The 27,985-nt window shown below is 36.0% G+C and overlaps 1 protein-coding gene across 2 annotated transcripts in view, besides 1 other annotated feature; it reads right to left on the bottom strand.

The window, feature by feature from the left end:
- The window catches only part of CWC27 (CWC27 spliceosome associated cyclophilin), a 249,846-nt gene that overhangs the window by 27,485 nt on the left and 194,376 nt on the right, over positions 1 to 27,985 (bottom strand). The window contains exons 12-13 of one of the 2 annotated variants that reach the window (NM_005869.4): positions 19,467 to 19,576; positions 14,041 to 14,144 (exon numbers count right to left, since the gene is read on the bottom strand). In NM_005869.4, the coding sequence (NP_005860.2) occupies positions 14,041 to 14,144; positions 19,467 to 19,576 (214 nt within the window). The remainder of the gene's footprint in view (positions 1 to 14,040; positions 14,145 to 19,466; positions 19,577 to 27,985) is intronic. The other variant, NM_001297644.1, reaches the window with a different exon arrangement.
- Positions 13,050 to 13,250: a silencer, noted in NCBI's record as "peak5267 fragment used in MPRA reporter construct". NCBI's record gives its function as "represses an SCP1 promoter by STARR-seq MPRAs in K562 erythroleukemia cells {active_cell/tissue: K562}" and the evidence as "EXISTENCE:reporter gene assay evidence [ECO:0000049][PMID:32103011]".

Raw genomic sequence — 27,985 nt, 5'->3', positions numbered from 1 at the left:
GGTTACTACCCACTACCTCCTGTGGTATTTGAACCTGAAGTTTCCTCTTAGGTAACAAAAGGATAACAATCCCAAGTTACACAGGAAGGATTAAACCACATCAGCAGAGTTGAGAATCCTAAGTGAATGCAAGGTTTCTTGCCAATGACTGTGAAAGCAGTTCATAATTTACGCCCAATATCTGTTTCTAAGCAGAAACCTTCTTCCTTACAATGATATCTTATCTCACTTGGGATATTATACTGTAATAAATCAATGGGAATGAGTGTCATGTCTAACTTTACTCCACATCCCACACCTCACACATTATTTCCATTAAAAACATTTATTAAATAAATAAGGAATAGTTTTCAAAATATGCAAACTGAGTTAATCTGACCTATATGAATAAACTGAGCCCATAAATACTGTGCTATAGCATTAATGCCATTGAAAGATTTTAATATCACTAGATAAGTATTCATAGAAAGCTTAAGGATTAATAATTACTTGCCATGGGCTCTACATGTTTAAATGACATCTTAGGGAAAAAGAAGCATGTTGTCTAGAGTTATTAATTGATAAAGTAGGGTAAGGGTTGTATGACAGCAGCAGTTTAATGAGTACAAAAGGCTCAGTATCTGGACTGTAAGAAAACAGATAATACAATTTCCTATACTGGAAATTAGAGAAAAGTTTCTGAATTAAGGATGACATCTAAACAAATAAAAACTCGGCCGGGCGCGGTGGCTCACGCCTGTAATCCCAGCACTTTGGGAGGCCGAGGCGGGCAGATCACGAGGTCAGGAGATCGAGACCATCCCGGCTAAAACGGTGAAACCCCGTCTCTACTAAAAATACAAAAAAATTAGCCGGGCGTAGTGGCGGGCGCCTGTAGTCCCAGCTACTTGGGAGGCTGAGGAAGGAGAATGGCGTGAACCCGGGAGGCGGAGCTTGCAGTGAGCCGAGATCCCGCCACTGCACTCCAGCCTGGGTGATAGAGCGAGACTCCGTCTCAAAAAAAAAAAAAAAACAAAAAAAAAAAAAACAAAAAAAAAACAAATAAAAACTCTAGAGCTCTGATAAAGGCTACATAAAGCATAATGACAGTAACTAGTGAAAATATTACTCTCCAAAAGTTGATGAATGAATATTTGTCTTGCAGTTGATCATTCAGTTGAAATTCTTGGCAAGAAGAACAAGAGGGAGTACTTTATAACTAGTGAATAGAAAACAGATAGACTTCCTTAGAGATTATTTAGCAACAAGCTTTTAGAGTAAAATACACTCTCCTTTTGACTCCATGAACTACCAGTATTGCTTTTTTTTTTTCTCAGATTAACTGAGCCAAATACCTTTTATTAGCTTGATTTAAGCATCAGGTACTAGCCTATTATGCACCATCTGTCAGCTGGGGATCTCTGTACCCCTCCACACCCCACAGAAATCTAAATCTCTCCAAAGAATTTCTGCTAATTGTCAGCATGTCTCATGATCATCAGGCCTCCTTTGCCTCTTGTGCTCTAGCTTCCTCTGGCCTACACCATGCAAAAATAATTTGAATCTCTGCCATCCTGAGTCTCCAACCAAACAGCACCCACAAGAGCACAACTTTACTGAAGGCTGTTAAGAGATCCTGGAGATAGGTCATGTCAACCACTGCACCTCTCAATACCAATCCCTCCCTTTCTTCTTATCTCAAGATAGCAGTTTGGTGATCACCTTTTGTGATTTGAGGATGTTCCTAAGGTACTGTTTTTCAACTTCTCTCTGGTGAACCATATCAAGGCACAGTGCTTTTCCCAAGAAATACATTATTCTCTCTAATAGCAATTCATTGCCAACTATTAAGAAATCTTTTTTTAAAGAAAAAAATTTGCTCATGCTGAGAATTATTCAGTACCATCTAAATGTTTGTTTTTTAAAAAAGGATCTTAACAGAACCTGAAAGAAATGAGATAGCCTACTACATGAGACAATTTGGCATAAGCCAGTTTGAGACAACTCACTAGTTATACAGAAATCTTAAAAGAGGAAAAGCAGAACAGTACATATGTGAGAATCTCCAAAGGGGTTTGGAAAAATGGTAGTATTGATAAACAACTCTGAGAAGCTGTGGCCCCAAGAGAATGGGATAAAACCCTGCTGCTTTTCCCCCTTTCTTTTCTATCCCAGCATGGCTCTGAATGAGGGCACAGTTGCAAAAAGTGCATGGTAGAACAGTGTAACTAAAGATCCAACGTTCTGGCTGGAGGAAGAAAAGGGGAGGCCCACGACAATAGAAGGTATTGAGGAGACTGTAAAGGGAAAAGGGAATCCATAAAGTCAGTGCATGTGTCAATCCAATGCTAAACTGCATATCAAAGACTCTGAGAACTTAACTAAAAGATAGTCTAGGCTTGGCGTGGTGGTTCATGCCTGTAATCTCAGCACTTTGGAAGGATGAGGTGGGTGGATCATCTGAGGTACGGAGTTCGAGACCAGCCTGACCAACATGGAGAAACCCCGTCTCTACTAAAAAATACAAAATTAGCCACATGCGGTGGCGCATGCCTATAATTCCAGCTACTCAGGAGCCTGAGGCAAGAGAGTCTCTTGAACCCGGGAGGTGGGGGTTGCAGTGAGCCAAGATTGCACCATTGCACTACAGCCTGGGCAACAAGAGTAAAACCCCGTCTCAAAAAAAAAAAAAAAAAATAGTCTAACAGCCAGGTCCCACGCTGGACAGCGGGTGGCGTATACATGGGACAGATACAAATAGCAATGCAAATGCATTGAGAACAAGACTAAGATTGAAACCAAATCCCACAGAAGGGTGATCAGAACTTGTGGCCTGAACCCAAATGGGTTGTCTGCTATAACATAACATTTTTCATAGGATTTAAATAAGACCCAGAGACTCATAATATTCAAAATGTTTAGGATACAATAAAAAAAAATTACTTGGCATAAGAGAATCATACAAATCTTAACTTGCACGGGAAAAGACAATCAACAGATGCTAATACTGAGATAACAGGCACTGGAATTATTTGACACAGACTTTTAAACAGTTATTGTAAAAAAGCTGAAAGAAGGGCAAACACTGTTGAAATAAATGAGAAGACAGAAAGCTTCAACATAAAAATAAATACAAATAAAAGTTTTAGAACTGAAAAATACAATAATCAAAATTTAAAACCCACTGCAAGGGCTCAGTAGCAGAATGGAGGTGACAGAGAACACCAAAGGTCTAAAATTCATGTCACTAGAGTCCTAGAATAGAGAAGAAGGAATGTGTTGAGGATAAAATAATTTAAGAAATAATGTCTAAAAACCTCCCAAATTTGGTGAAAGACACAAACCTACAGATTCAAGAAGCATAGCCAACATCACACATAGTAAACCCAAAGGAATCTATACCTACTCATGCAAATCAAACTTGCAAGAACAAAAGATGAAAAAATCGTAGAGAAAAATAATGCATTATTTATAAGGAAACAACAATTTGAATAAGTAAAGATTTTCCAAAAGAAACCATGCAGAACAGAATTTGGTGGAACAAACATCTTTAAAGTGATGCAAGAAATGAACTGTTGACCCATAATTCTGTATTCAGTGAAAATATCCCTCAGAAATGCAGGTTAAATAATGACATTCTAAAGTGAAGGAAAACTAAAATAATCTGTGGCCAGTAGATCTGCTCTAAAATCATCATTCAAGGAAGTTCTTTAGCTAGAAGAGAAATAATACCAGAAGGAAACCTGAAATATCATGAATAAAGAAAGAGTAACATGAATGGTAAATATCTGGGTAAATATAACAGAGTCTTCTCCTGTTGAGTTCCTTAAAATGTGTTTGACAGCTGAGAGCAAAAATTATTAACATTTTTCTGAGGGGATTCTCAATATATGTAGATGTAATACACAAATTGGCTAGAATACAAAGGGAAGAGGTAAAAGGACCTACATACATGTAAGAATTCTATATTCGTCTTGAAATGATAAAATATTAACTCTAAATAAACTATGAAAAGTTTAAAAAGTATATTGTAATTCCTATATCAATCAGTGAAACAAAACACTATTCAGATACTGTCAAAAACACAATAGATAAATTAAATGGAAATGCTAAAAAATGCTCAAATAATCCAAAATAATGCAAAAAAGAGGAAACTGATATGTAACTAACCTGCACATTGTGCACCTGTACCCTAAAACTTAAAGTATAATAATAAAAAAATAAAAAATAAAAATAAACAAAACAAAACAAAACAAAACAGAGGAAACTGAAGAATAAAAAAGGGAGGGCACTTCTGGTTTCACTTCTAACATGTAAAGAGCTTGAAAGTCATCAATTCATCCTTGCAACAAGAAAAAAGCTAAACAAACTGGAAAAAAATGATTTTTTTTAGATGTATTACAGAGTTGAGGTCATAGGGTAAAGTGCCATCCCCAAATCTGGAAATACAGGCAACTACAGAGAATCATTTTCCAGATCAGCTTACCTGGAACAAATGCTACTGGAGCCATAAACTGGTAGGAATGCTTAAGTGGTAATTTTAATGAACTGCAGGAAGCTGAGTGTGGATTAGCATGACAGTAAGAAACTCCTGGGGGCCCAGTCCGGGGGGGGCTCTGATAAAACAAAAAGCATCAGGTCTAGATGGGTTCACTGATGAATTTTACTGAACATTTAAGAAAGAAATTATACCAGTTCTTTGCAATCTCTTCTAGAAGACAGAAGCAAAGGGAACACTTTCTAACTTGCTCTATGAAGTCAGCATTATCCTAATACAAAAACCAAACAAAGGGATTAGAAGAAGAGAAAACCACAAACCAATATCTTTCAAGAGCATAGATTCAAATATCCTCAACAAAATATCAGAAAATCAAATTCAACAATGTATAAAAAGAATTATATACCATGACCAAGTGGGATTTATCCCAGGTACACAAAGCTGGTTCAACACACTGGTAAGGATGTGAAATAATAGAAGTTCTTATTTGTTGCTGGTGGGAATGTAAAATGGTAGAGACACTTTGGAAGACAGTTTGGCAGTTTCTTACAAAACTAAATGTATCCTTACAATCCAGTGTTTGCTTTTTGATATCTACTCAAATGAGTTGAAAACTTATGTTTTCATGTTCCACATGGCTGGGGAGGCCTCAGGAAACTTACAATCATGTTGGAAGGGGAGGCAAACACGTCCTTCTTTATTGTGGTGGCAGGAGAGAGAAATGCAAGCAGAAGAAATGTCAGCCACTTATAAAACCATCAGATCTCCTGAGACTCACTCATTATCATGAGAACAGCATGGGGGAAACCATCCCAATGATCCAATCACCTCCACCTGGTCCTGCCCTTGATTATGGGGATTACAATTCAAGGTGAGATTTGGGTGGGAACACAGAGCCAAACCATACACTGGTAAAAGACATCTATGAAAAGCCCATACTTAATGGTGAAAGACTGAAGGCTTTTCCCCAAAGACTGGGAACAAAGGAAGAATGTCTACTCACGCCACTCCTATTTGTCTTCATACTGGAAGTCTTAGCCAGAGCAGTAGAGCAAAAATAAATAAATGAATAAATACATGTCATACAGAGTAGAAAGAAAGAAATAAAACTGCCTGTATATAAAACAAAAAGCAACAAAAAAATCCAAAAACCTAGAACTAGTAAGTGAGTTTCACAATGTTGCAGGTACCAGGCCAACAAACAAAAACCAATCATATTTCTGTATAACAATGACAAACAATTGCAAACCAAAATAAAAAAATACTATTTATAACAGCTCCACAAACAAGGAAATGGTTTTAAATCCAAAAACACATGTGTAGGGTACTGCTAACAACTATAAAATGCTGATGAAACAAATCAAAGGAGACCTAAATAAATGGAGAGACATAATCATGTTTATGGATTGGAAAACTCAACATAGTAAAGATGTCAATTCTCCTCAGACTGATCAATAAACGTAATGAAATTCAAATAAAAATCTCAGCAGAATTTTTTTGTAGAAATAGACAAACTGATTCTAAAACTTTTATGGAAAGGGCAAAAGAACTAGAATAGCCAAAGCAATTTTGAAAAAAACAAGAAGAGAGTTGGAAGAATCATTTCAAAATTTACCATAAATCTGTTGTAATCAAGAAAATGTGGTAATGGTGAAAGGATAAAGACACAGATTGATGCAACAGAATAGAGAGTCCAAGAAAAGACCCATATTAATATAGCCAACTGTGTTTGACAAAATTGCAAAGTCAGTTCAAAGTCTTTTTAACAAATGGTACTGGAATAATTGGACATCCATATGAAGAAAATGAACCTTAACCTAAACTTCATACCTTATACAAAAATTTATTCAAAATGGATAATAGATCTAATTGTAAAATGTAAAACTATAAAATGTTTAAAAGAAAACTTAGGAAAAAATCTGTGTGACTTTAGGTTGGGCAAAGAATTCTTAGACATAACACTAAAAGCATAACCTGTAAAAGGAAATAAATCAATCAACTGGACTTAATCAATATTAAATATTTTTACTCCGTGAAAAATATTATTGGAGAAAAATCACATATCTGATAAAAAACTTGCAAATAACATATCCCAAAAAAGACTTGGATGTAGATTATACAGAGAACTCTTGAAACTCAACAGTAAGAAAACAAATCCAATTCCCAAATAGGCAAAAGACTTGAACAGACATTTCATCCAAAAGAAAATACAGAAGGCAAGCAAGTACGGGACAGATTAAAAATTACTACTGGATTGCTCATTGTAACAAGTGAAATGATTGAAAGACATTTAAAGAAGTTAATTATACCTTCTTTCCATGCCCATTTGTACCTGTTATCCTCCCACCTGCATCTCCAGCTAACCAGTGGTAACAGTATGGTACATAGCCAACCATTGTTTTCCATGGGACAGATCTTGATGCACATAACATCAACAAATATTTTTTGAAAGCCCATTATGAACCAGGCACTGGATACGGTACTATGAGGACCAAAAAGCAGATAAATTATTTAACTTCACTGTGCCTCAGTTCTTTCATGTGTAAATAAAGATAATAAATAATACCTACCCCATAGAGTCAAGTGCATGTGAAGCACTTAGAATCAGTAGGACATTATTTTGTGAATTGAAGAGGCTAGGCACAAATATAAGAATGAAAACAACTAAAGGCCAGGTGTGGTAGCTCATGCCTGTAATCCCAGCACTTTGGGAGGCTGAGGCGGGCAGATCACCTCAGGTCAGGAGTTCGAGACCAGTCTGACCAACATGGTGAAACCCCATCTCTACTAAAAATACAAAAAATTAGCCGGGCGTGGTGGTGCGCACCTGTGGTCCCAGCTACTCGGGAGGCTGAGGCACAAGAATCACTTGAACCTGGGGAGGCACAGGTTGCAGTGAGCCAAGATCTTGTCAGTGGACTCCAGCCTGGGCAACAAGAGCAAAACTCTGTAACAACAACAACAACAACAAAAGTAAAAGAATATATTTAAATACTACTTTGTGTGAGAAAAAATTTAGAAAAGTAAACAAGAACATAAAACCAAATGCCATGTCACAGACCACTTCAAAACAGTTAAGGACCAGAAAAGGGTTGATGAGGAAACAATTAGTACTCTGTTGTACCAGGCCTAGGCCAGTGACAACGGGTACATTTATTTCAGAAAGTACCATGTTGCTTCTACTTGAGAACAAGGATCACAAACTGGGACCTGGAAAAAAGCTTCCCAGGACCTATAGATTGGGTCATAATCTGTGATTAAAAAAGGACCATCATTACACACTCAATGACCAGAGATGACTTGTCCCAGCGGTTCTCAAAGTGTGACTCGGGGACCCCTGTGTGTCTGCAAGGTCAAATTTCTTTTTGTATGAATACTAAGACACTTGTTTGTCTATTTCATTCTTATCCCCTCATGAGTGTACAGTGGAATTTTTCAGAGAATACATGAAGTGTGAGATAAAACAGAGTAAAGCAGATATGCTCCTATCATGCCAGATTTCAGAGATTTACAAAAAAATGTAAAACAATGCCACTCATATCACTAAATTTTTTGTTTTGCAGGCATAATTTTTTTAAATTAAAGTATGTTGTTTATAACATATTATTAATAGATATATTCCATATAAACAAAAGCTCTTTGGAGTTCTCAGGAATTTTTAGCAGTGTAAAGCAGTGGCCCCCAACCTTTTTTGGCACCAGGAACCAGTTTTGTGGAAGACAGTCTTTCCATGAATGGGAGTGAGGGGCTGTTGATTTCAGGATGAAACTGTTCTGTTTCAGACCATCAGTCATTAGAGTCTCATAATGAGCATGCAACCTAGATCCCTCGCAGGTGTAGTTCACAACAGGGTTTGCGCTCCTATGAGAATCTAATGCCGCCGTTGATGTGACAGGAGGTGGAGCTCAGGCAGTAAAGCTCGCTTGCCTGCTGCTTACTGCCTGCTGGGCGGCTCAGTTCCTAACAGGCCATGGACCAGTACCAGTCTGCAGTCTGGGGGTTGGGGACCCCTGGTGTAAAGGGCCCAGAGACAATAATTTGAGTTCCACTGCCTAATACTAAAGGGTGAAGTTGGCTAAGTTCATTTAGCTAACTTGGGCCTTCATTATTTTCACAGTCTCCACCCTTAGAGCTGTATTTGTGTTCATCTATACTAAACTGTGCTTGACAATGTCCTGTTGGAATGAAGGGGAAAATAATTGAAACACTCTCCCAACACTTTGGGAGGCCGAAGCGGGAAGATCATTTGAGGCCAGGAGTTCGAGATCAGCCTGGGCAACATAGTGAGATGCTATCTTAAAAAAAAAAAAAATTAGCCGAGTATGGTGGTGTATGCCTGTGGTCTTAGCTACTTGGGAGGCTGAGGTGGAGGATCACTTGAGCCTGGAACTTTGAGGCTGGAGTGAGCTTTGACTGCACCAGTGCACTCCAGCCCGGGCAACAGAGTGAGACTCTGTCTCAAAAAAACAAAAATTCATTTGTTGTCATTTCACCCTTCATTCAATACATGATTAAACTATATACACAAATTACAGTATGTATTACATATAAAAGGTATTGAAAGCTTTGCTAGTATAAGCAATGAGATGAAGCTATGTTCTTTCATGGTATCTTATAATGAGGTCTGACTGGGTCTAAAAGTCAATAATCTCTTTTTTACATCTGTATTATTAAGATTTCACTGTTTTGGATACAGACAGCTGGTAGTTGTTGCTTCTGCACTATGCTAACTCCAAAGGAAAGCTTTAAAACTTCTTTAAGCCAAACCTTGGTTCTCAGAACTTCAATCTCTAGCAGATGCAAACTGTCTGACTGATGGCTAAAATTGACTTTTAACATTAGCCAAAGTGCAATAATAAAACTGAAAAAAATCCATATCCAGAAGTTTTAACCCATAGGGTTATCGTAGAAGGAGAATTTTTCAGAACCAAGAACAAGACTACTTGGAGATAAGGCTCCTAAGAAGAGGAGCTAAGTTGAAACTTGTATAGTTTTATGAAAAACAGAAGCAAACCACACTGTTTTTATTTTTAAAAAATTTAAGAAGGCAAAGCATTTCTTCTAAAACATTAATCTCTTTCACTAAAGCTCTTTAAGGATTCTTAATTAATTCTTGAGATTCTAATAGCCCTAAAGACAAGTATTTACTTTGGAGTACAAATTAGAATGACATTTTGTGAAAGCCATTTGAAAATATTTAGCAGAAGTCAACATGTGTACTTACTGAGAAAGCAATTCTAGTTTTAGAAATTTATCCTAAGAAAATGGGCAATGACATAGAAACAAGGATGTTACAGCATTGTTTAAATATCCAACAACATGGTCAAATAAATTTGTGGTTCATCATATAGTGGAATATGATGGTCATAATACAAAAGATAAAAATTACATCATAAAATTATACATGATAAGGAAAAGTAGTCACTGCATATTGCTGAGAAAAAAAGCAAGTTATAAAGCTGTAGTACTATATGATCTAATTTCTGTTTAAAATATGTATGTGCATAGAAATACCTGGACAGATATAAATTAACATGTATAAAAATATACTTTTACATATTTGATGTAAATAGCATAAATATATAAATTGATATGTATAAATTAACAGTATTTATCTTTGAGTTTGGGATCATAGGTAATTCTCATTTACCTTTTTTGAGTGTGTCTGCATTCTGATTTTTCCACAGTGAACATTTTTTTGTTTTTTTTTGAGACGGAGTTTTGCTCTGTCAACCAGGTTGGAGTGCAGTGGCATGAGCTCGGCTCACTGCAACCTCCACCTTTCAGGTTCAAGCGATTCTCGTGCCTCAGCCTCCTGAGTAGCTGGGACCACAGGCACCCGCCACCATGCTCGGCAAATTTTTGTACTTTTAGTAGAGATGGGGTTTCGCCATGTTGGCCAGGCTGGTCTCAAACTCTTGACCTCAAGTGATCCACCTGCCTTGGCCTCCCAAAGTGCTGAGATTACAGGCATAAGCCAGCATGCCTGGCCACAATGAACATCTTTTAGTTATATAATAATCAGTAAAATATTTACTTGAGGCAACCATGCAATTGTTGGTATTTTTTCAAATTTTTATAATACTAAATACCGTATGTACTATGGAAGAAAGTGACGGAGGGGAGAGAAAGAAGAAGAGAAAGAGGAAGAAGGCAGACAGACCATTATACTGTTTATTATTTTATCTTGTATATGTGCTGTAATGTTTCAAGTTAATCTTAGAATTAACAATCTGGAAAGAAATTTTCAATGAAACATAGTAGTGAAGAGTTAATGTGCATAAGATCGAAGCCTATTCACATAGATTTAATCTTTCTCCTCTCCTTAGAAATGCCAATTTTGTTGTGTAAGGAGCAGGTGGCTATCTTTCTTGTAACTTTTTTGGGAGCTCACCAAGCTTCATCTAACCAAACCCAATTTGGCATATGGACTTCATCCATATGGTCATATGAATCCCTGGGCAAATTCCTCCTGCCATGTGTCTAATCGGTTTCATAAAATCCATGCTCAAAGAAGGGTCTACAGCTATATGAGTCTGTATACTGTGGGACTAAGGAATATAGTGACAAAGAGACCACTCTACCTGCTAAACTGGAATCTGGTACCATCACTATCACTAAATATTGGCAGTGTATATCTGAACAAAGGAGGAATCCTAGTAATTCTGAGTGAAAAATTTCTATCATGCATTTCAGTTTAGATCTACTAATAACACTTCTTTAAATGCCTTGTTAGTGAAATCTGGGAATAATTTTCAAACACCATACGCACTGTTTACAATTGAATCATATTTCTTTTCTTTCTCTCCCTCTCTCTTTTTTTTTTTTTTTTTTTTACATAAAAAGTATAATGCTGCTGAATGGTACCCAAATGTCTGTTGTATACCATGCCAATACAGCAGCTCAGCCAAAAATGCGAATAGAATAATTTGCCAAGTAAAAGAAAACATAACAAATTGGTAATGGTTTCTATCTTGACAGAAAATGAAAATGATCCCTCAATGTGTGGCCACTCATGTGGACACATAAAAATGTCTTAGAAGCAATCATTTTACCTCAGATAACAGACCCTGACAGTGTAGTACAGCACAATGGCTGACTTTCACTTCTTAGAAAAGCGGCAACCGTGACCTACAAAATAGTCTGGGAACCATGTAATTTATGCATAACACACATGCACATGCCATGCACTCATAATATTTGTTATAAATCATTCTGAATATAAGATTCCTTTCCTGAGAAGAATATACTTTATGAGAGAGGATCTAAATCACCAGAGACTTGAGAAAGCTATACTGAACAGAAATGATGTTGTTGCTTATCAGGTTACAAAATCCAAGGTCTAAATTGCAATAAAAAGGCATTACATAAGGGCCCTATATATGCTATCTGATTCTGCATAGTGCCTTGAACATGGAAGGTATTTTTGTTAGATGTTAGATAAAACAAATACCAAAAACATTCTGGAGGTTCATAGTGTACAGCTCTGACTTTCTCCTTAGAAGACTGCAATTGAAAGCAGATATGAACGCCCTGAAGACCTGCTAATGGTTCCTTTAACTTGTTCCCCACTTCTTCACCATTTATTTTTTTCTCCCAATGGAGAATTAGCCAACATCATTGGCCAGTGATTTTTTTCCCCATGTCCAGTGAAGTTTCCCCGTTTTAAACTTTCTAATGAGAATGTTAGACAGAAAATTGATTGTATAATCAAATAACATGAAAAACAGGAATGGCACTTTTAAAAATACATCATTGGTATCTGAAGCTAATGAGGAATTCAAAATGAGAGAATACTGAACCAAGGGGCTAGGAAGAACCTTGGAAGTTAAATGGTCTTGCCAAGTTGAAAGTAAATTTGAATCCTGTGGGTTATGAGCTTCAAATAAAACTTCTGGGGTTTGAATTTGTTGGTGACTTTCCTGTTCAATAAAAAAGGACTTAAATGGCTTATAAAAAGGTTAAAAAAACTTATTGGGCATCAAACTGCTCTTACAAAACACCATCTTGATGAGTTAAGTGTAAATGAATCAGAAACACACGGGTCATATTTCCTTCAAAAATGCATATGGATTCAAAAATAAAGGGAAGAGGACTTGGCAAAACATTTTTTGTGTGGTGGCTGAACCCAAAACATTTGAAAGAGATTTTGAGACATTCAAGGAATCCCCCCCACCGCCAAAAAAAAAAAAAAAACCCAAAAACCCAAAACAAAACTAAACTAAACCTGTCCAGTCATATAAAACAAAAAGTTCTATACAATGTGCATTTAACTATGGGTCAATCAACATTCACTGAGCCTTCGCCTTTGGCACCAAACTATGGAAGGAGACAGCTTCTGCCTTCAAGCAACTTATTTGTATAAACAAATCTATATAAGTAATAGAAACCTATTAAAAGATATCTAGGATCTTACAAAAACTGGCATCGTAACCCACATCATATGAAAACTATAAATTAATTGAGAAATAGACAAGTGCTTTCAGGGTCCTAGGTTAGGTAGGATTCATTCCATTCAAATCATCATGCCCTCAGCCCTTTTGATTAAAGTTATATACAGTTGCAGAGTCTTACGTGTTTGAATGTTTTCTTAATAAGTGTTTTTATGTCTTTTTAAATGTGTTTTCCAGCCCTCCTTCCTCCACCCTCTAGATTTGTGAGTGCTCAACAAATCTTGCTGACTGGTTTCCTGAAGGATGGGAGTGTTGAACAGAGTTTTGAAACAGGGGAGATGCTGTTTGGCAGAGAGAACCGAGGCTATGATTCTGGGTTGGGGTAATGGCACATGTGATGGTTCAGAGGCTCCAGAGGGTGAGTCATGTGTAGGGGGTGATACATTGGCTTGCTTGCAGCAATGTGGCTGAGCCAGGGTGTAGTGGGAGGTGGAGGCAGTTAGGTGTGGGGAGGCTTAATACACTGCATGTGAAGTCAACTTGAGGACAGAGGGGTGTGATAAAGAAAAACACAATTTTTATTCCTTTTTTTTTTTGCCAGTATAGGATAAAGTTCTAAGCAAAGGATATGTATATGTCATTACTTTATTTATCAGTCTCTTAAAAAGCTGAAAAATATCCAAAGATAAAAATAAAATTAACTATGTATGAGTTGCTAGGATCCTGTAGATCATAACTTTGAAGAGGAAGTTAGTCGGATTATGAAATAGATTACTGAGTTCTAAAAGGTTTGTGGGAAAATGTGAGAAATTATTGATTTATTATCTTCTAAGGTTGTTTTCGAGTTGTTTAATGTGAGTCTCATCTTTTCCACAATATTAGAAAGTTACTTAGAACTGGGATAGTGTCATATATTTCTTGTGCATTTTTTACTGACTAGCACAATGCCGGACACATCAAGTGCTCAATAAATGCTTGTTTCTTCAGTGCTTGGTGTGTTTATTTATTTTACTTTATATTGAACTGAAATAAAGTCAAAAGTTGCCGAGGTCCTATAATGGTGATGGTAAACTCTGAAAACAAAAGGATGATATAGTGGAAATGCCCCAGTAGTGTCTCTGCTCTGAGACTATTTGTTCATGGTTAATATACAGAAATCAAAGCCCTTACCATCCTTCATCATCTTCTACTTCTGTTTCAGGAATGTCATTTTCAGGCGTTTCAGCAATTGCTTGAGTGAGTTTAGATTTAAACTGGTTCAGCAGTGCAAGGGTCTGAAATAACAATTAGACTGCTAAGTTTTCTGATAAAGATAAATATAATTTTAAAAGAGATGCTTAAGTTTGGTAGAAAAGGAAATATCCTACTTGGATGTAAAACAAAATGTTTGATTTTGAACAAAAAGAACAAAACTACCTTTAGGCTGCAATAATGACATTAATAAACCTTGACATCATTCTGTTTGGATTTGCACTGACATTTCCCCTCAGAGATAGGTGACTATTTTCTGATTTGGGAAACAAAAGTTTGCTTACATAGAAGACAGAAGACCCAACTTTTGAAAATACATGTTTGGCCTGGTGCATTGGTTCATGTCCCAGCACTCTGGGAGGCCAAAGTGGGAGGATCTTTTGAGCCCAAGAGTTCAAGACCTCAAGACCAGCAGGGGTAATGTAGTGAGACTCTATCACTACAAAAAGAAAAGAAAAAAAGTCAGATGTGGTGGTGTGCATCTGTAGTCCCAGCTACTATGAAGCCTGAGGCAGGAGGATCCCTTGAGCCTAGGAGTTTTAGGCTGTAGTGACCTATGATTGTGCCACTGCACTCCAGCATGGGTAACAGAGTGAGACTGTCTCTAAATAAATAAATAAATAAAATAAAATAAAATAAAAAATGTATGCTCATTTATAGTTGAGTTTAGTGTCTATAAGAAAGAAAGGTAATTCACTAAGTTATGTGAAATCAAAAATAAAAAAATAGTATTGTTTATTTCACAAATTTCCAAAAATATAAAAATATCAATATAGGGAAGGTAGAATGAACATATTAACTGTTGGAAAATGAGTAAATTGGAATGTCTTTAGAAAGCTGTTGATACATACTGGTAACTTTAAGATGATCATTCCCCCTGACTGAGTAATTCCTATCCTGGGACGATAGAAAAATAAGGTGAAACAGAGAAAATGGCTTACGCACAAGATGTGCACTGCAGCATTACTCATACAAATGGAAAAATGAAAACCTGTTAAATGTCTATCAATAAGAAACTAGATAAATTTAGTAAAAAGCAATAAATATGCTATTTAAAAATTTTATTTTTATTTTTTATTTTTATTTTTTTGAGACAGAGTCTCGCTGTGAGGCCCAGGCTGGAGTGCAATGGCGCGATCTTGGCTCACTGCAACCTCCGCCTCCCAGGTTCAAGCGATTCTCCTGCCCCAGACTCCTGAGTAGCTGGGACCACAGGCACGTGCCACCATGCCCAGCTAATTTTTTTTGTATTTTTAGCAGAGATGGGGTTTCATTATATTGGCCAGGCCGGTCTCCAATTCCTGACCTCAAGTGTTCCACACGCCTTGGCCTCCCAAAGTGTTGGGATTACAGGTGTGAGCCACCATGCCTGGCCTAAATATGCTATTGTTATTAAAAATTATATACATGAAACATTGCATTCTATTGTTAAGTGAAAGATGAATACAAATATTGTGTTAAGTATATATTTTTTAAAAGTGTGTGTGTGTAGGGGGAACATGACTGTGAATTCTTGTTTGGCTCCTATGCTCTCTGTGGGCAGGAAGAAGCAAGTGGCTATAATTTTGTAATCACACCATCTCCTAGGTCTTAACAGTCTACTCCAGAATTTGAGCAGACAACAGAAGCTAGAAAAAGGTTTTTCTATTCAACATATTTACAGAGTCCATCATTATGAAATGGGATAAAATACTACCTGTCCGAGAAATCAAGGGCCTAATCAAGATTTTGGTATGTTGAATTCAATACTGAAATCCTCACATTTCATAAGGAAAAAGATGTGTGACAGTTCAACATGTGAATAACTGGTATATTAGAGAGTCACAATACATTCCTAAGCTCCAGAATTTATCTAGAGAGTATCAATAAGATCACAGTTCATGAAAAAGTTAAGTAGGTCTGGGCAATCTAGAACTCAAGCTTAATAAAGACAAATGGTGTCAAAATAACTGCAAGAAAAAGGTGGTTGGTTATTGCTTTAAAAATGATAGTAAAAAGCATCTTCTACTTTTCTGCAAAATTTAATGCCCACATATTCAACAGCTAAAAATACACACATTATCATAGCTACTGAATGAGATGAGTTTTGGGGAAAATTTATAAGTTCCTATAGAATGTCATCATAGGCATTCTGAGGGCTGCAGAGTATGTTAGCATTTAGCTGTTTTATCTGTTTTTAGAGTAGAGGTTATAGAATTAAGCTATTCAAACAATGTTAACAGATAAAGTATCCCTTGTTTTTAAACCTTACTCATTAAAAATAGTCCATTGTTTATTCATTCTTATTGTATTTGCTTATTAATAAGAAAACAGATTACTGTAAAAATATTGAAAAATAGAAGTAAAATAACTATTATCCTACCACTCAGAATAACCGCTGTTAATATTTTGGTAAATATACTTCCAGGTAGTATGTGTGTGTGTATGTATGTGTTTATATATCTGTATCTATATCTATCTATATCTACTATTGCATAAATATATCTCTCCACATGCTTATCTCCATATCTATCTATTTAATCTATATGATATGGTCTGGCTGTGTCCCTACCCAAATCTCAACTTGAATTGTATCTCCCAGAATTCCCATGTGTTATGGGAGGGACCCAGTGGGAGGTAATTGAATCATGGGGGCTGGTCTTTACCATGCTATTCTCGTGATAGCGAATAAGTCTCACAAGATCTGATGGGTTTATCAGGGGTTTCCACTTTTTCTTCTTCCTCATTCTCTCTTGCCACCACCATGTAAGAACTGCCTTTCACCCTCTGCCATGATTGTGAGACCTCCTCAGCCAGGTGGAACTATAAGTCAAATTAAACCTCCTTTTTTTCCCCAGTTTTGGGTATGTTTTTATCAGCAGTGTGAAAATGGACTAATACACTATAGCTTAAAAGTAAACCCTATCATTTTTTTTTTTAAGAGATAGAGTCTCACTCTGTCACCCAGGCTGGAGTGCAATGGTACAATCATGGCTCACTACAGCGTCGACCTACTGGGCTCAAGCGATCCTCATGCCTTAGCCTCCCAAGTAGCTGGGACCACAGATGCACACCACCTTGCCAAACTATTTTTTTTTTTTTTTCTGTAGAGATGGGGGTCTCCCTAGGCTGCCTAGGCTGGTTTCAAACTCCTGGGCTCAAGAGATCCTCCCATCTTGGCCTCCCAAAGTCCTGGGATTACAAGAGTGACTCACCATGCCTGGCCCTAACTAATTTTTAATGATGGATGTTTGCATACTTGGAAATGTCTTTTTTAAAAGCACAAAGAAAAATGAAAACAAAAAAGACTTCTAAATGGAATGAAATTTTAAAATTTCCTAGAAAATTATACTAGACCTGGATCTTTCTCCCTGAGTTACAAGTGGCAAGGCAGTTTGTTTTTAAGCCAATTAATGAGCTACTGGCATTTGCTCAAAGAGGGGAGACTGTGGCAAACAAAAAACATCCTCTTGGCTATTTTTAGCTTCTTCTATATTTAAGATTAGACTTTCTCCTGCTTTATTATAAAGGCTAGAGAAGACACTGGGCAGAAAAAAATCACAAAAATAATGGGACACATTTGTTATAGTGTGAAGAAGATAGGATCTGCATGGAGGCATTTTGATTGGCATCTGCAGGGGAATTATTCAGTTATGGCTTTTCCTGAAAGAACGAATGGCCAACTACTTCCAGGAATGCTCTTTCAGCACAGCGAGAGCCTTCCCAGAATGTAGAAGCTATGCTGAAGGAGCCCAATCTTGGCATACTCTGTTTATGCATATCTAACACAAGAGTCTCCCAACTGGGCCCTGTGCCTCTGGTCCTGTCCTGTATCCAGTCTAATCTCCATATTGCAGCCCAGTTAGAGAGATCTTCCTAAAATGAAAGTGAGATCATATCACTTCCTTCTGTCAATGGTTCCCCATGGCCTTTAGGATAAATTCTAAACTCCTTAACATGGTTTAAAAATACCTTGTACGAACTTACTTTTGCTTACCTCTTCAGCCTCATCTTTCTCCTTCTCTTAGTTTATGTTACAATCATATTTAATATCTTTTAGTTCTTTGCAAAGAGGTTGAAGACTTTTCATGTACGCACTGTTCCTTTTGTCTAGCCATGCTCTGCCTCTACCTGGCTGTCTCCTACACAACCTTTGAAGTTCAGCTGACAAATCATTTCCTTAGGAAGGCCTTCCCAGATTCTTAAGCCATGTAAGGCCCCTCTGTTATTCATCTACATGGCTTCCTGTACCTACCCTTTCATAATGCTCACCCCCTTTCACTGGTATTACTTGTTTAGCTCTTTTCCCTGATAGATCAGAGAGAGCAGGGATGTGTTCATGTGTTGACTGCCAAATACAGTGATTAGTACATGGCAGGTTCTTAATAATTATTTGCTACAAGGGAATGGGGGGAGGGGGAAGGAATGAATGAATGAGTCATCCTTAGTATCTCTGGTAGTATAGTCACTATGGTTGCTATTTAGAAGACTTTGTGATTTCATGAAAACAAGTTAATAATGTACTTTTTCTTAATGAAATTAAGAAATTATCCAGACAGGTTTGGGCTTTTTAATTTACTTTTACTTTGCCCGTTTTATTTATACAACTAAAATGGTGTGTCCATATATATATATATAAGGCAGTTTGTTTATATCCATATATATTAATATATATGTCTATCTATATAAACATATATATGGCAGCACCAAAAATAAATGATTTCAGTCTGCCCTCTAACTTTTCAACATGAAGGGCTGCTTAAGAGATTTGTTTTATCAAGTGTCAAGTACTGCATGGCACATAGTGCTGACTCCCAAATTGTTGAGCTAGCTTCCTATCTCTTTTCATTCTTGATTTCTGACAACTAACTTCTTAATATTACTACCTAAAGATTCAGGAATTACTTGTACTAATGAATAGAAGTCAGCTAGCAGACCAAATGACTTATTTCCAGACAGTGTACAATTTCAAGCTAGGCTGGCTAGTCAGCATGCGAGATGTCGGGCTGGAAGAGACTCTCTCATCATTTATAATCACCACTTCTTCATTTCATAATATTCACTACACAGAGGTTCCACCTGGGTTTCTGAGGATACATGGCTTTATGAGGTTCCTGTGCTTACTATGGGAGTACCAGGTTGAAACGTGGAAGTTCCAGGCTTTTTCACCACCAATGTCTGGAAAGAACTCCAGAGTTTGAATCTTTATGTGAGTGGCCAATGTCCACCCTATATAAATATATTCTTTTTTATTTTTAAGAGGTAGTGCTTCTCCTGATATATAATCAAATTAGGCTCCATTTAGAAACACTTAAAAACAATAAAAAGACAATAAGTTCTGTATGGATTTGGGTTTTTGAAGTTACCTGATCTTCCCGGGAAGTTCCCTTCTTTGACTGTTGCTTCCTCAAAGCTTCATACTTTTGCTTTTCTCTTCTGTATTCGGCAACAGCACCATCTGGAGGGGCTTCTTCCTCTAAAGAATAGTAGAATATTTTTAGAATAAGCAGTAAAATAGCTCTGTGGATTCATAGCAATGTTTATGCTCCTGTTGCTGAAGAGGAGGTTGGCACTTGGGCTTGCTTTTTCACCATTTAATTTCAAAAGAAAACCTGTAAGCCCCACCAGCTCTGTAACTACTTCCTAAATTAGAATGTGACTGATGCTAATTTATGAGTTGATATACATATATTTACTATACACTGCACTATTGTAATTGTTCTTCTCACATGTCCTTATTTAAGTTGATTATAAAATCATCTATCTCACTTCTAAAATAATTAAGGTTTTCCTAAAATTCAGCAATACCATTTTACATTTTTTCCTTGCCTTAGAAGATATAACCTTCCAAATATTGGTTGATATTCCAATTACCTGCCACTTTTGTTCCCCAGTTATAACAATAACAACCTTCAATTTAATGGCATCATAGAAAATAAATATGTCTAACAAATAAGTCAAAACAGTTAGCAAAAGCAGACAAAAATAATCTTTACTGAATTAGAAATTAGAAAACAAATCTATAGGTTTGAACCTGCAATAATTCTATGTGAAGATTAGTTAACATCTTGGTTCATAAAACACAGTTTTGCCTCAAAAACAAACAAGCCAACAAACCCAACTAGTAACATTTTATAATACCTCACATGTGTAAATATCAATGAAATTTGTGACTAAAACACACACACACACACACACACACACACACACACACACACACTCCCTCTCTCTCTCTCTCTTCTCTTTGGCTGGAAGACAAACGATAAGCCAGATGTAATCAAGAATGCTAGTAATCTGTCTACCAAAGCTTTAGTCTGTTAGTTGTCTCTTTGTTATCTAGCTTGAGGAACATCATGAATATGCAATCTATTAACAATCAGCCATTTTGTTCAAGAGATTTTCTGGTCAAAAAAAAAATTTGAACTAAGAAACAAGTTATCTTTTTGTGGTTACCTAATATGATTTTGGTAGAACTTGGAAGGAGAGTCCTGGTTTCAAAACTGACAGCTGCAAACATTAAAAACTGAGCACATTAAGGAAAAATGAACCATTAAATACAGAAATAATATCTAAGGCACACATGCCTAGTAAAGACTAGTATAAAGAGTATGCCATCACGACTGGTATACATGAAGTGATTCTTATAGTAGGTTTAAAAATTACTTTCGGCCGGGCGTGGTGGCTCACGCCTGTAATCCCAGCACTTTCGGAGGCCGAGGTGGGCGGATCACGAGGTCAGAAGATCGAGACCATCCTGGCTAGCACGGTGAAACCCCATCTCTACTAAAAATACAAAAAATTAGCCGGGCGTGGTGGCGGGCGCCTGTAGTCCCAGCTACTGGAGAGGCTGAGGCAGGAGAATGGCGTGAACCCGGGAGGCGGAGCTTGCAGTGAGCCGAGATCGCGCCACTGCACTCCAGCCTGGGCGACAGAGCGAGACTCTGTCTCAAAAAAAAAAAAAAAAAAATTACTTTCATATTTTTCTACTGAATTACATCTTTGAATACCTCTCTTCTTCTTATCCTACAGTAGTTAGATTTGCATTGTCCTGGGATAAAGAGCAAGCACTTTAAGATGACTTAGGATCCCTACATGAGGCAGTTAATGCTTTGCTTTCCAGTTACGTCTCTCAAGAGACAACTCCTTTGCCGTATCCACCTTCATGTGCTTTCACTTGGCTGATAACTAGTATTCTTAAACCCTGCTCTCTTGACCAACCATCCGCCTTTGCACATGCTTTTCTTCCTTCAGGGATACTGCAAATACTTCATCTCTCCGTTCTTGTTAATTCTCCTTGCTTAATTCCGGCTCCTCCTTTAGGTCTCAGCTTGGTTGGCACTTCAGTGAGCCTTTTCTGATTCCGTTCTTGAAGTCTGGTTTAGATGTCTCTCCTTTGAGCTTCCAAAGCACCCTTTAGCACTTATCACACTTTATGGCGATTTCCTGTTTACTCTTCTTTAAACTCACTAGACATTAACTCCTTGAGGACAAATCATATTTGTCCTCATTTTTTTTTCTTATTTCATTTCATGTCCTCATTTCATTTTCTTAAGTGTATCTTTCAAAGATACACTTAGGACAGTGCTTGGCAAGTGATTCAATAAATAGTCAAATAAATGAAGTAATAATGTAATTGAAGAAGGGGAAAATAAGAAGGTGTAGGGTAATTTGCCCTCTTCCCCTCGCCAGCCTCAGTTATAGTTAGCATTTGCCATGCACCTGGAATCTCCTGTTCCATTGCATTTAGGGAGTCAATAATTATTTTCTGCCATTTCCTAGGGCAGAAGTTTGTAAAATTCTAAGGAAAATTGTGATGGGTATCAGTAGAACTGTTTAATGTTTTTATGGTTAAAAAAATGCAAAAGAGAAAGGACAAGTTCTTTGCTTACATTTTCAGCTAAAAAAGATTGAAAACCTTTATGTGTGGTAAGAATTTTGCAATAAATGGAAAAGATATAGATGAATTCTGCTATCTCATGTCATAGGTAAGTTAAGCTTACAACTTTCAAAACAGATTCAGCATTGCTTATTTTAATGTTTCACACGCATCTTCTTGAACACGGTCCCTTTTAGCAAGGACCAACCACTTAATTTCACTTATTAGGAATGTGAAGGAAGTAGGAAAATGTTTAAAAAGTGCTATAAAGAAGCCTTACAAATCAATTTTAAAAAGTCAAGGATAGGTACATTTAAGTATATAATAAAGCATGGAAATTCTGTAGCTATGTTGTTTATAATACTAAATGGCCTTTTAATAACTTAGAAATAGCAGTCACCTCATTAAGGAAACTAAATGCATGAAATGATAGAATTTTTAAAAACAGCTGTATTGAGGTAGGCATTACATATAGTAAAACTCACTAATTTTGTATATAAAATGTGATGACTTTTGGTATTGTATAGAGCATATAACTTCCACTGCAATCAAGATCTAGAAAAGTTCCACATACCCTACAAAGTGTCCAAATGTCTGTTACAGTCAGTTTTCTTTTTCTGGCAATGAGGCATCAGCGATCTGCTTTCTGGCACCACATTTTTGCCATTACTAGAAACTCATACAAATGGGATCATACAGTATGTAGTTTTTTATGTCTGGCTTATTTTGGTGAGCAACTATTGTTGAGATTCATCCATGTTCCTTTGCATAACTGAATAGTATTTCATAGCATGGATATACTCTAACTTGTTTATTCTGAGTTGCTTACCGTTTTTGGCTACTACAAATAATGCCTCTTTAAACATTTACACACACAAGTTTGTTTGCAAACATATATTTTCATTTCTTGGGGGTAAATACCTAGGAGTGGGATTGCTGAGTCAAGTGATAAGTGTATGTTTAATTTTATATGATACTGCCATACTGTTTTACAAATGGTCGCACCATTTTGGCTGCATCATTCCACTCGCAATATAGGAGAGGTTGAGTTGCTCCATATCTCCAAATATATCGGTATTGTCATTTAACTGAATATTTTAGAGAGCGTGAAATAGTATTTTGTGGTTTCTAGTGTTACTTTTCTGATGACAAGTGATATTACATTTTTTATGTGCTTGTTGGCCATTTATGTATCTTCTTTTCAAATCTTTTGTCTATTAATTTTTTTTGTCTTATTAATGAGTTGTAATAGTTTTCTTATATATTCTGGATACAAGTCCTTTGTCAAATATATATTTTGTAAATGATTTATCTCAGTCTGATTTCCCTTTTCATTTTCTTAAGTATATCTTTCAAAGAGCAAAAGTTAAAATTCGATGAACAGCATTTTATCAATATTTAAATTTCATATCACACTTTTTGTGTCTTATCTAAAAAATCCTTATTTTCCTCATGGTCTCAAAAGTTTTTTTCTAATGCTTTCTCTTAGTAATATAAAATTTTAGCTTTTCTGTTAAGATATATAATTTATTTCAAGTTGATTTTTATATATGGCGTAAGGTAAGGGTTGAGATTTTTTTTCTATACAGACATCAAGTGTTCCAATATTATATGTTAAAAAGGCTTTCTTACCTCCAGTGAATGACCTTGGCACCTTTCTTGAAAATCAATTGACCACATATGTATATCTATTTCTATACACTCTCTTCTGTTCCATTAATCTATGTCTCTGCTTGTGCCAGTAGTATACTGTCTTGATTACTGCAGGTTTATAGTAAGTCTTGAATCAGTTAGTGTAAGCCCTCTAACTTTGTCTTCTTTTTCACAACTATTTTGGTGATTTTTGTTCCTTTGCCTTTCCATATAAATTTTAAAATCAGCTTGACAATTTCTTCAAATAAGTCAGGTAGGATTTTGACAGTAGCTGCATTGAATGTATAAATTAATTTGGGGAGAACTGCAATCTTAACAATAGTGAATCTATCAAAGTTTTACTGACTTAACCTGCCATGTTGAGGTCTATAATACATCCTTTTGGTTCCAACCATCATGTACAGTCATGGTGCTGGTGTGAGATAGGAGTGAGGAGTGGCTATTTACTATCATCTTTGTGACTATCTCAGGATTAGTATTTCAGAAACAGGAATGTTTTGAAACAAATATGGGTAATTGTAAAAATGACTGGCTGATATACTAGAAGCAATAACATGAAATAGCAAATAGAAATAAGCAGTTTTCATAGAATGGAGAGCAAAAAGCAGTACCTCTCTTCCACCAAAATGTCATGGGAATGTAAAAAAAAAGAAGATATGTGCAATGTAATTAATTCTCACATCAAGACTCACTGAACAAACCAATGAACAACTTCCAATCCAGAAAGGTTAGTTGGACAAAAAGTATTTTTAAAACAAACAAAAATTTTTATTATGGAAAAATTTCAACACAAATATAGAGAGAATGGTATAATGAAGCCTCTTTAGTCATCACCTATTATCAATAGCATCAACTTATGGACAATCTTATTTAACTCACAAGATATTCTTAAGACATTAAAACTAGCACTCAGACAGTAACCTAAAGCACATGCATTTCCTCTAGTAGGTAAAAAAGAAAGAATATGTGCTCTCAGTTTCCAGTATAGGAGATGCCAGTGAGCATGGCATCTTTAGAGCATAGACTTTGGGTGAGACTGATCTGAATCCTGGTTCCACAATTTACTATATGAGTGAGATAGGGATACACTATGTCATCTTTTTGTGCCTCAGTTTCTTCAGCTATAAACTGGGGATGATAATATCTACCTCACTTGCTGTTGTGAGGATTAAATAAAATACTGTCTGACATGTGGCAAACACCTAACAAACTATTATTACTATCTCATTCAGATTAAATTATGAAAGTATCAAAATATACACTCACACTGACTGTACAATTATGTGCTAACTCTATATGTTTTTCTTTGTTTTAAGTGATAAGCTTTCAAAGGATATCACAGACTCTTGCACAAGTCAAGCTTGTTTTTCTTTCTCTTTCCCTCTCCATACAAATACATTTCTTTCATATAAGGGAATTTCTTACATTGATGGAGGGAAAAGGGAAACTATTTTTTTTTTTGCTAGATTATGAAGCTATACACATTCTAAAAGTGGTTATAAGGATTTTCCAGTTGAGATGCTCTTAGACATGTTAGCATTTTTATTTTACTTCCTCCTGCATTTCTCACATTTTAACCTATATTGAAAAGCTAATTAAGACAACTTTAATGTATGTATCAATTTATTTCATTAGTATTTATGAAACCAAACACTCTTTTTATATTTTCTAGCCATGATAATGAAAACACAGGCACGTAGTTCAAATCCTCCTGAATGTATTTGCCCTGATAATATCTTAATATTGTAGCATTAGTCATTCTTCTTAATGTATAGTCATAACCAGCTTCATAAATGTTTTGTATAAGGCAATTAGTGGTAGTGATGGCAAGCATCTAAAGAATGAATAAAATTCACCCGTAAATTGTAGGATCTGTTTGAAAATATCTGTTTGGTGATAGGATCTACATTTAAAATGACAAAGAAAAGACTTAATATTCTCTAACTGAAGTAAAAAATCGATTGCAAAACCAGTTTTGCTTTGAAAAATGCTAAGGAAATAGTTGGGTAAAATTTTATGGCTTTTCATTATGATTTAAATGATCCCAGATCAAATAAGTAAGGTAACTCTTGTTTCACAAGGCTTCAAACATATTTCAATACTATTTCCATCTACCCCTGTTTATTATATTCCATTCTTAATGAAGCTCCAGTTAAACAATTTTCAGCAGATGGACTGAGAATGAAACCAAACTCTAGAATGTTGTCTATGCCTCAATTGCTAACTCAACTGTCATCTGACAAAGTCTTGGACTGTAATCTTATCCTTACTGCAGCTTTTGGTTTCCAAAGGGGGAAAGTGTATAAAAACTTGACTTTTTGTCCTCTGATTATGGGTGAGACCTTTTTGACTTCAACACAGCCAACTGTGTTGGATTTTGTAATAGAAGTTAAGAACTCAAAAACTTGGTGCTTCAGGGCAGAATGGGTAAATCACAGGGTGTTCCCTATCATTATACAGCTGTAAATGCTCCCATACTGCTTTAAATAAAGAATGCTCTAAAGAGAGCGACAGCTTCTAAAGTTGTTGAGAAGTTATGTTTTTTATTTATTTATTTTTTGAGACAGAGTTTTGCTTTTGTTGCCCAGGCTGGAGTGCAATGGCGCGATCTTGGCTCACTGCAACCTCCACTTCCCGGGTTCAAGTGATTCAGGAGTTGTTTTTTATCTGCAACTATCTTTGAGTTTTACTACTTGGATGTATTTTGAAGCTTTTAATTTGATTGTGGTTGTTAATCATTTAATACCAATTTGATTTTTTTTAAAGATATACTCAACAGAGCTAAGAAAAAATTCCACTGACTACCAACTATAGGTGGACTAACAAGAGTTGAGAAACAATTGAATTACACAAATTTGATATTAGGTCAGGGTAGATAGTTGGGCAACAAATATTATTTTAAGGGTTGTCTATTAATCTGCCTAATTCAGTGGTACACGATCTTACCACTGAAACATGTAGTATTTTAGCTTGGGCTAATTTTACCTTGTGATAATTTTCTCACAAACAGCTATAAAATTAAAGCAGATGTTCCCTAAAGTGCTGATGAAGGGCAACTTAATGCTTCTTTGTGTCTGTATGCCTGCATGTAGAATTAGTTGATCTGATAAAACTTCAAATTAAAATTCCATGTACTACTAAATTATTTTCTTTCAATGAAATAAAAGGGACAGACTGTATCTCATGGAAATGACATTTCATTCTAAAATTTTAAGATTTTCTAAAGTTAAATTCCATAAAATTAACTTAAAAATCTCAAGTAATAGAATACTTAGAATTTCCCAAAAGCAATTTCCCTGTCTAAATAAATACTCAAAACTGCCTCAGGGTAAATGGGATTTCCTCTCAGACATATCATTTTGCTAATGAATTCCATCAATTCCATCCATAAGATAAAATGCCAAGATATGGCTGAAGGTGTTCACATAAATTCCAGGTGGAAAAGATTGATTTGGTAATTTTTTCTGTCCATCTACCAATGACAATTAAGAACTTAAAAAAGTAAATCACCTTTGCATCACAAATTACAATAATAAAATTGAGCTCAGAAAGACTGATCCAATCCAGCCAACTGTTTGAGGTCAGAAAAGCTGGCCACTAATAGGTTTATAATGTAGACATATTACAGTCATTTATCAAAATGGAAAACATGTCAGGTAAATATAGAAACCCAGTCAAATTCATAGTGTTGTCAATTTTTTTTCCAGAAAGTCATAAATCTAAATAATCAAGTTCAGAAAAGACAAGGCAGTCATACCACCTCCTGTTATACCCACTGGCTGCTCCAGTTCTTGGTCTTTGGAGATTTTTAATTACCTGACTTAAGGATATCTTTCCCCTCCTCATGTTTTCATTTCTAGCCCAAACAAATAGGCAGACAGTTTGAGAATAGCTGTGACGTCTGCTGATGTTTCATTATATTCATCTGTGATACCATGATTAAGCCTGTTAAGATTCCACCTGGACTGCATGGAAACTGTAACTCAAACACTTTACAGGGTACACACAGCCAAATGCAATGACATTTGCCACAAAAACCCAACTATTTGAAAAAACTGGTCTTCTATTTCCTAACTTGGTGTATCATATTAGTATAAAGTACTTCTATTTACAGTATGATCAACTATGAATGGTCATAGTACGTTCATGTTTCATAATTTAATCATCAGCATACTCTGAGTAATTTCCTTAGCTCTGTATTTCAGTTCACTAATTCTCTGTTCAGTTGTATCTAATCAATATTTAAGCCATAAACTGGGTCATTGAATTTAATAACTATATTTTCTATTTCTAAATATTCCATATGGCTCTTTTACAAATCACCTACTCTTTTTTATTGCCTTAATTTTTTATTAT

This window comes from Homo sapiens, chromosome 5 (genome assembly GCF_000001405.40).
Source record: "Homo sapiens chromosome 5, GRCh38.p14 Primary Assembly".
NCBI classification, from domain to species: domain Eukaryota; kingdom Metazoa; phylum Chordata; class Mammalia; order Primates; family Hominidae; genus Homo; species Homo sapiens.
The sequence above is the reverse complement of the archived record's forward strand: the minus strand, read 5'-3'. Positions and strand labels throughout refer to the sequence as shown.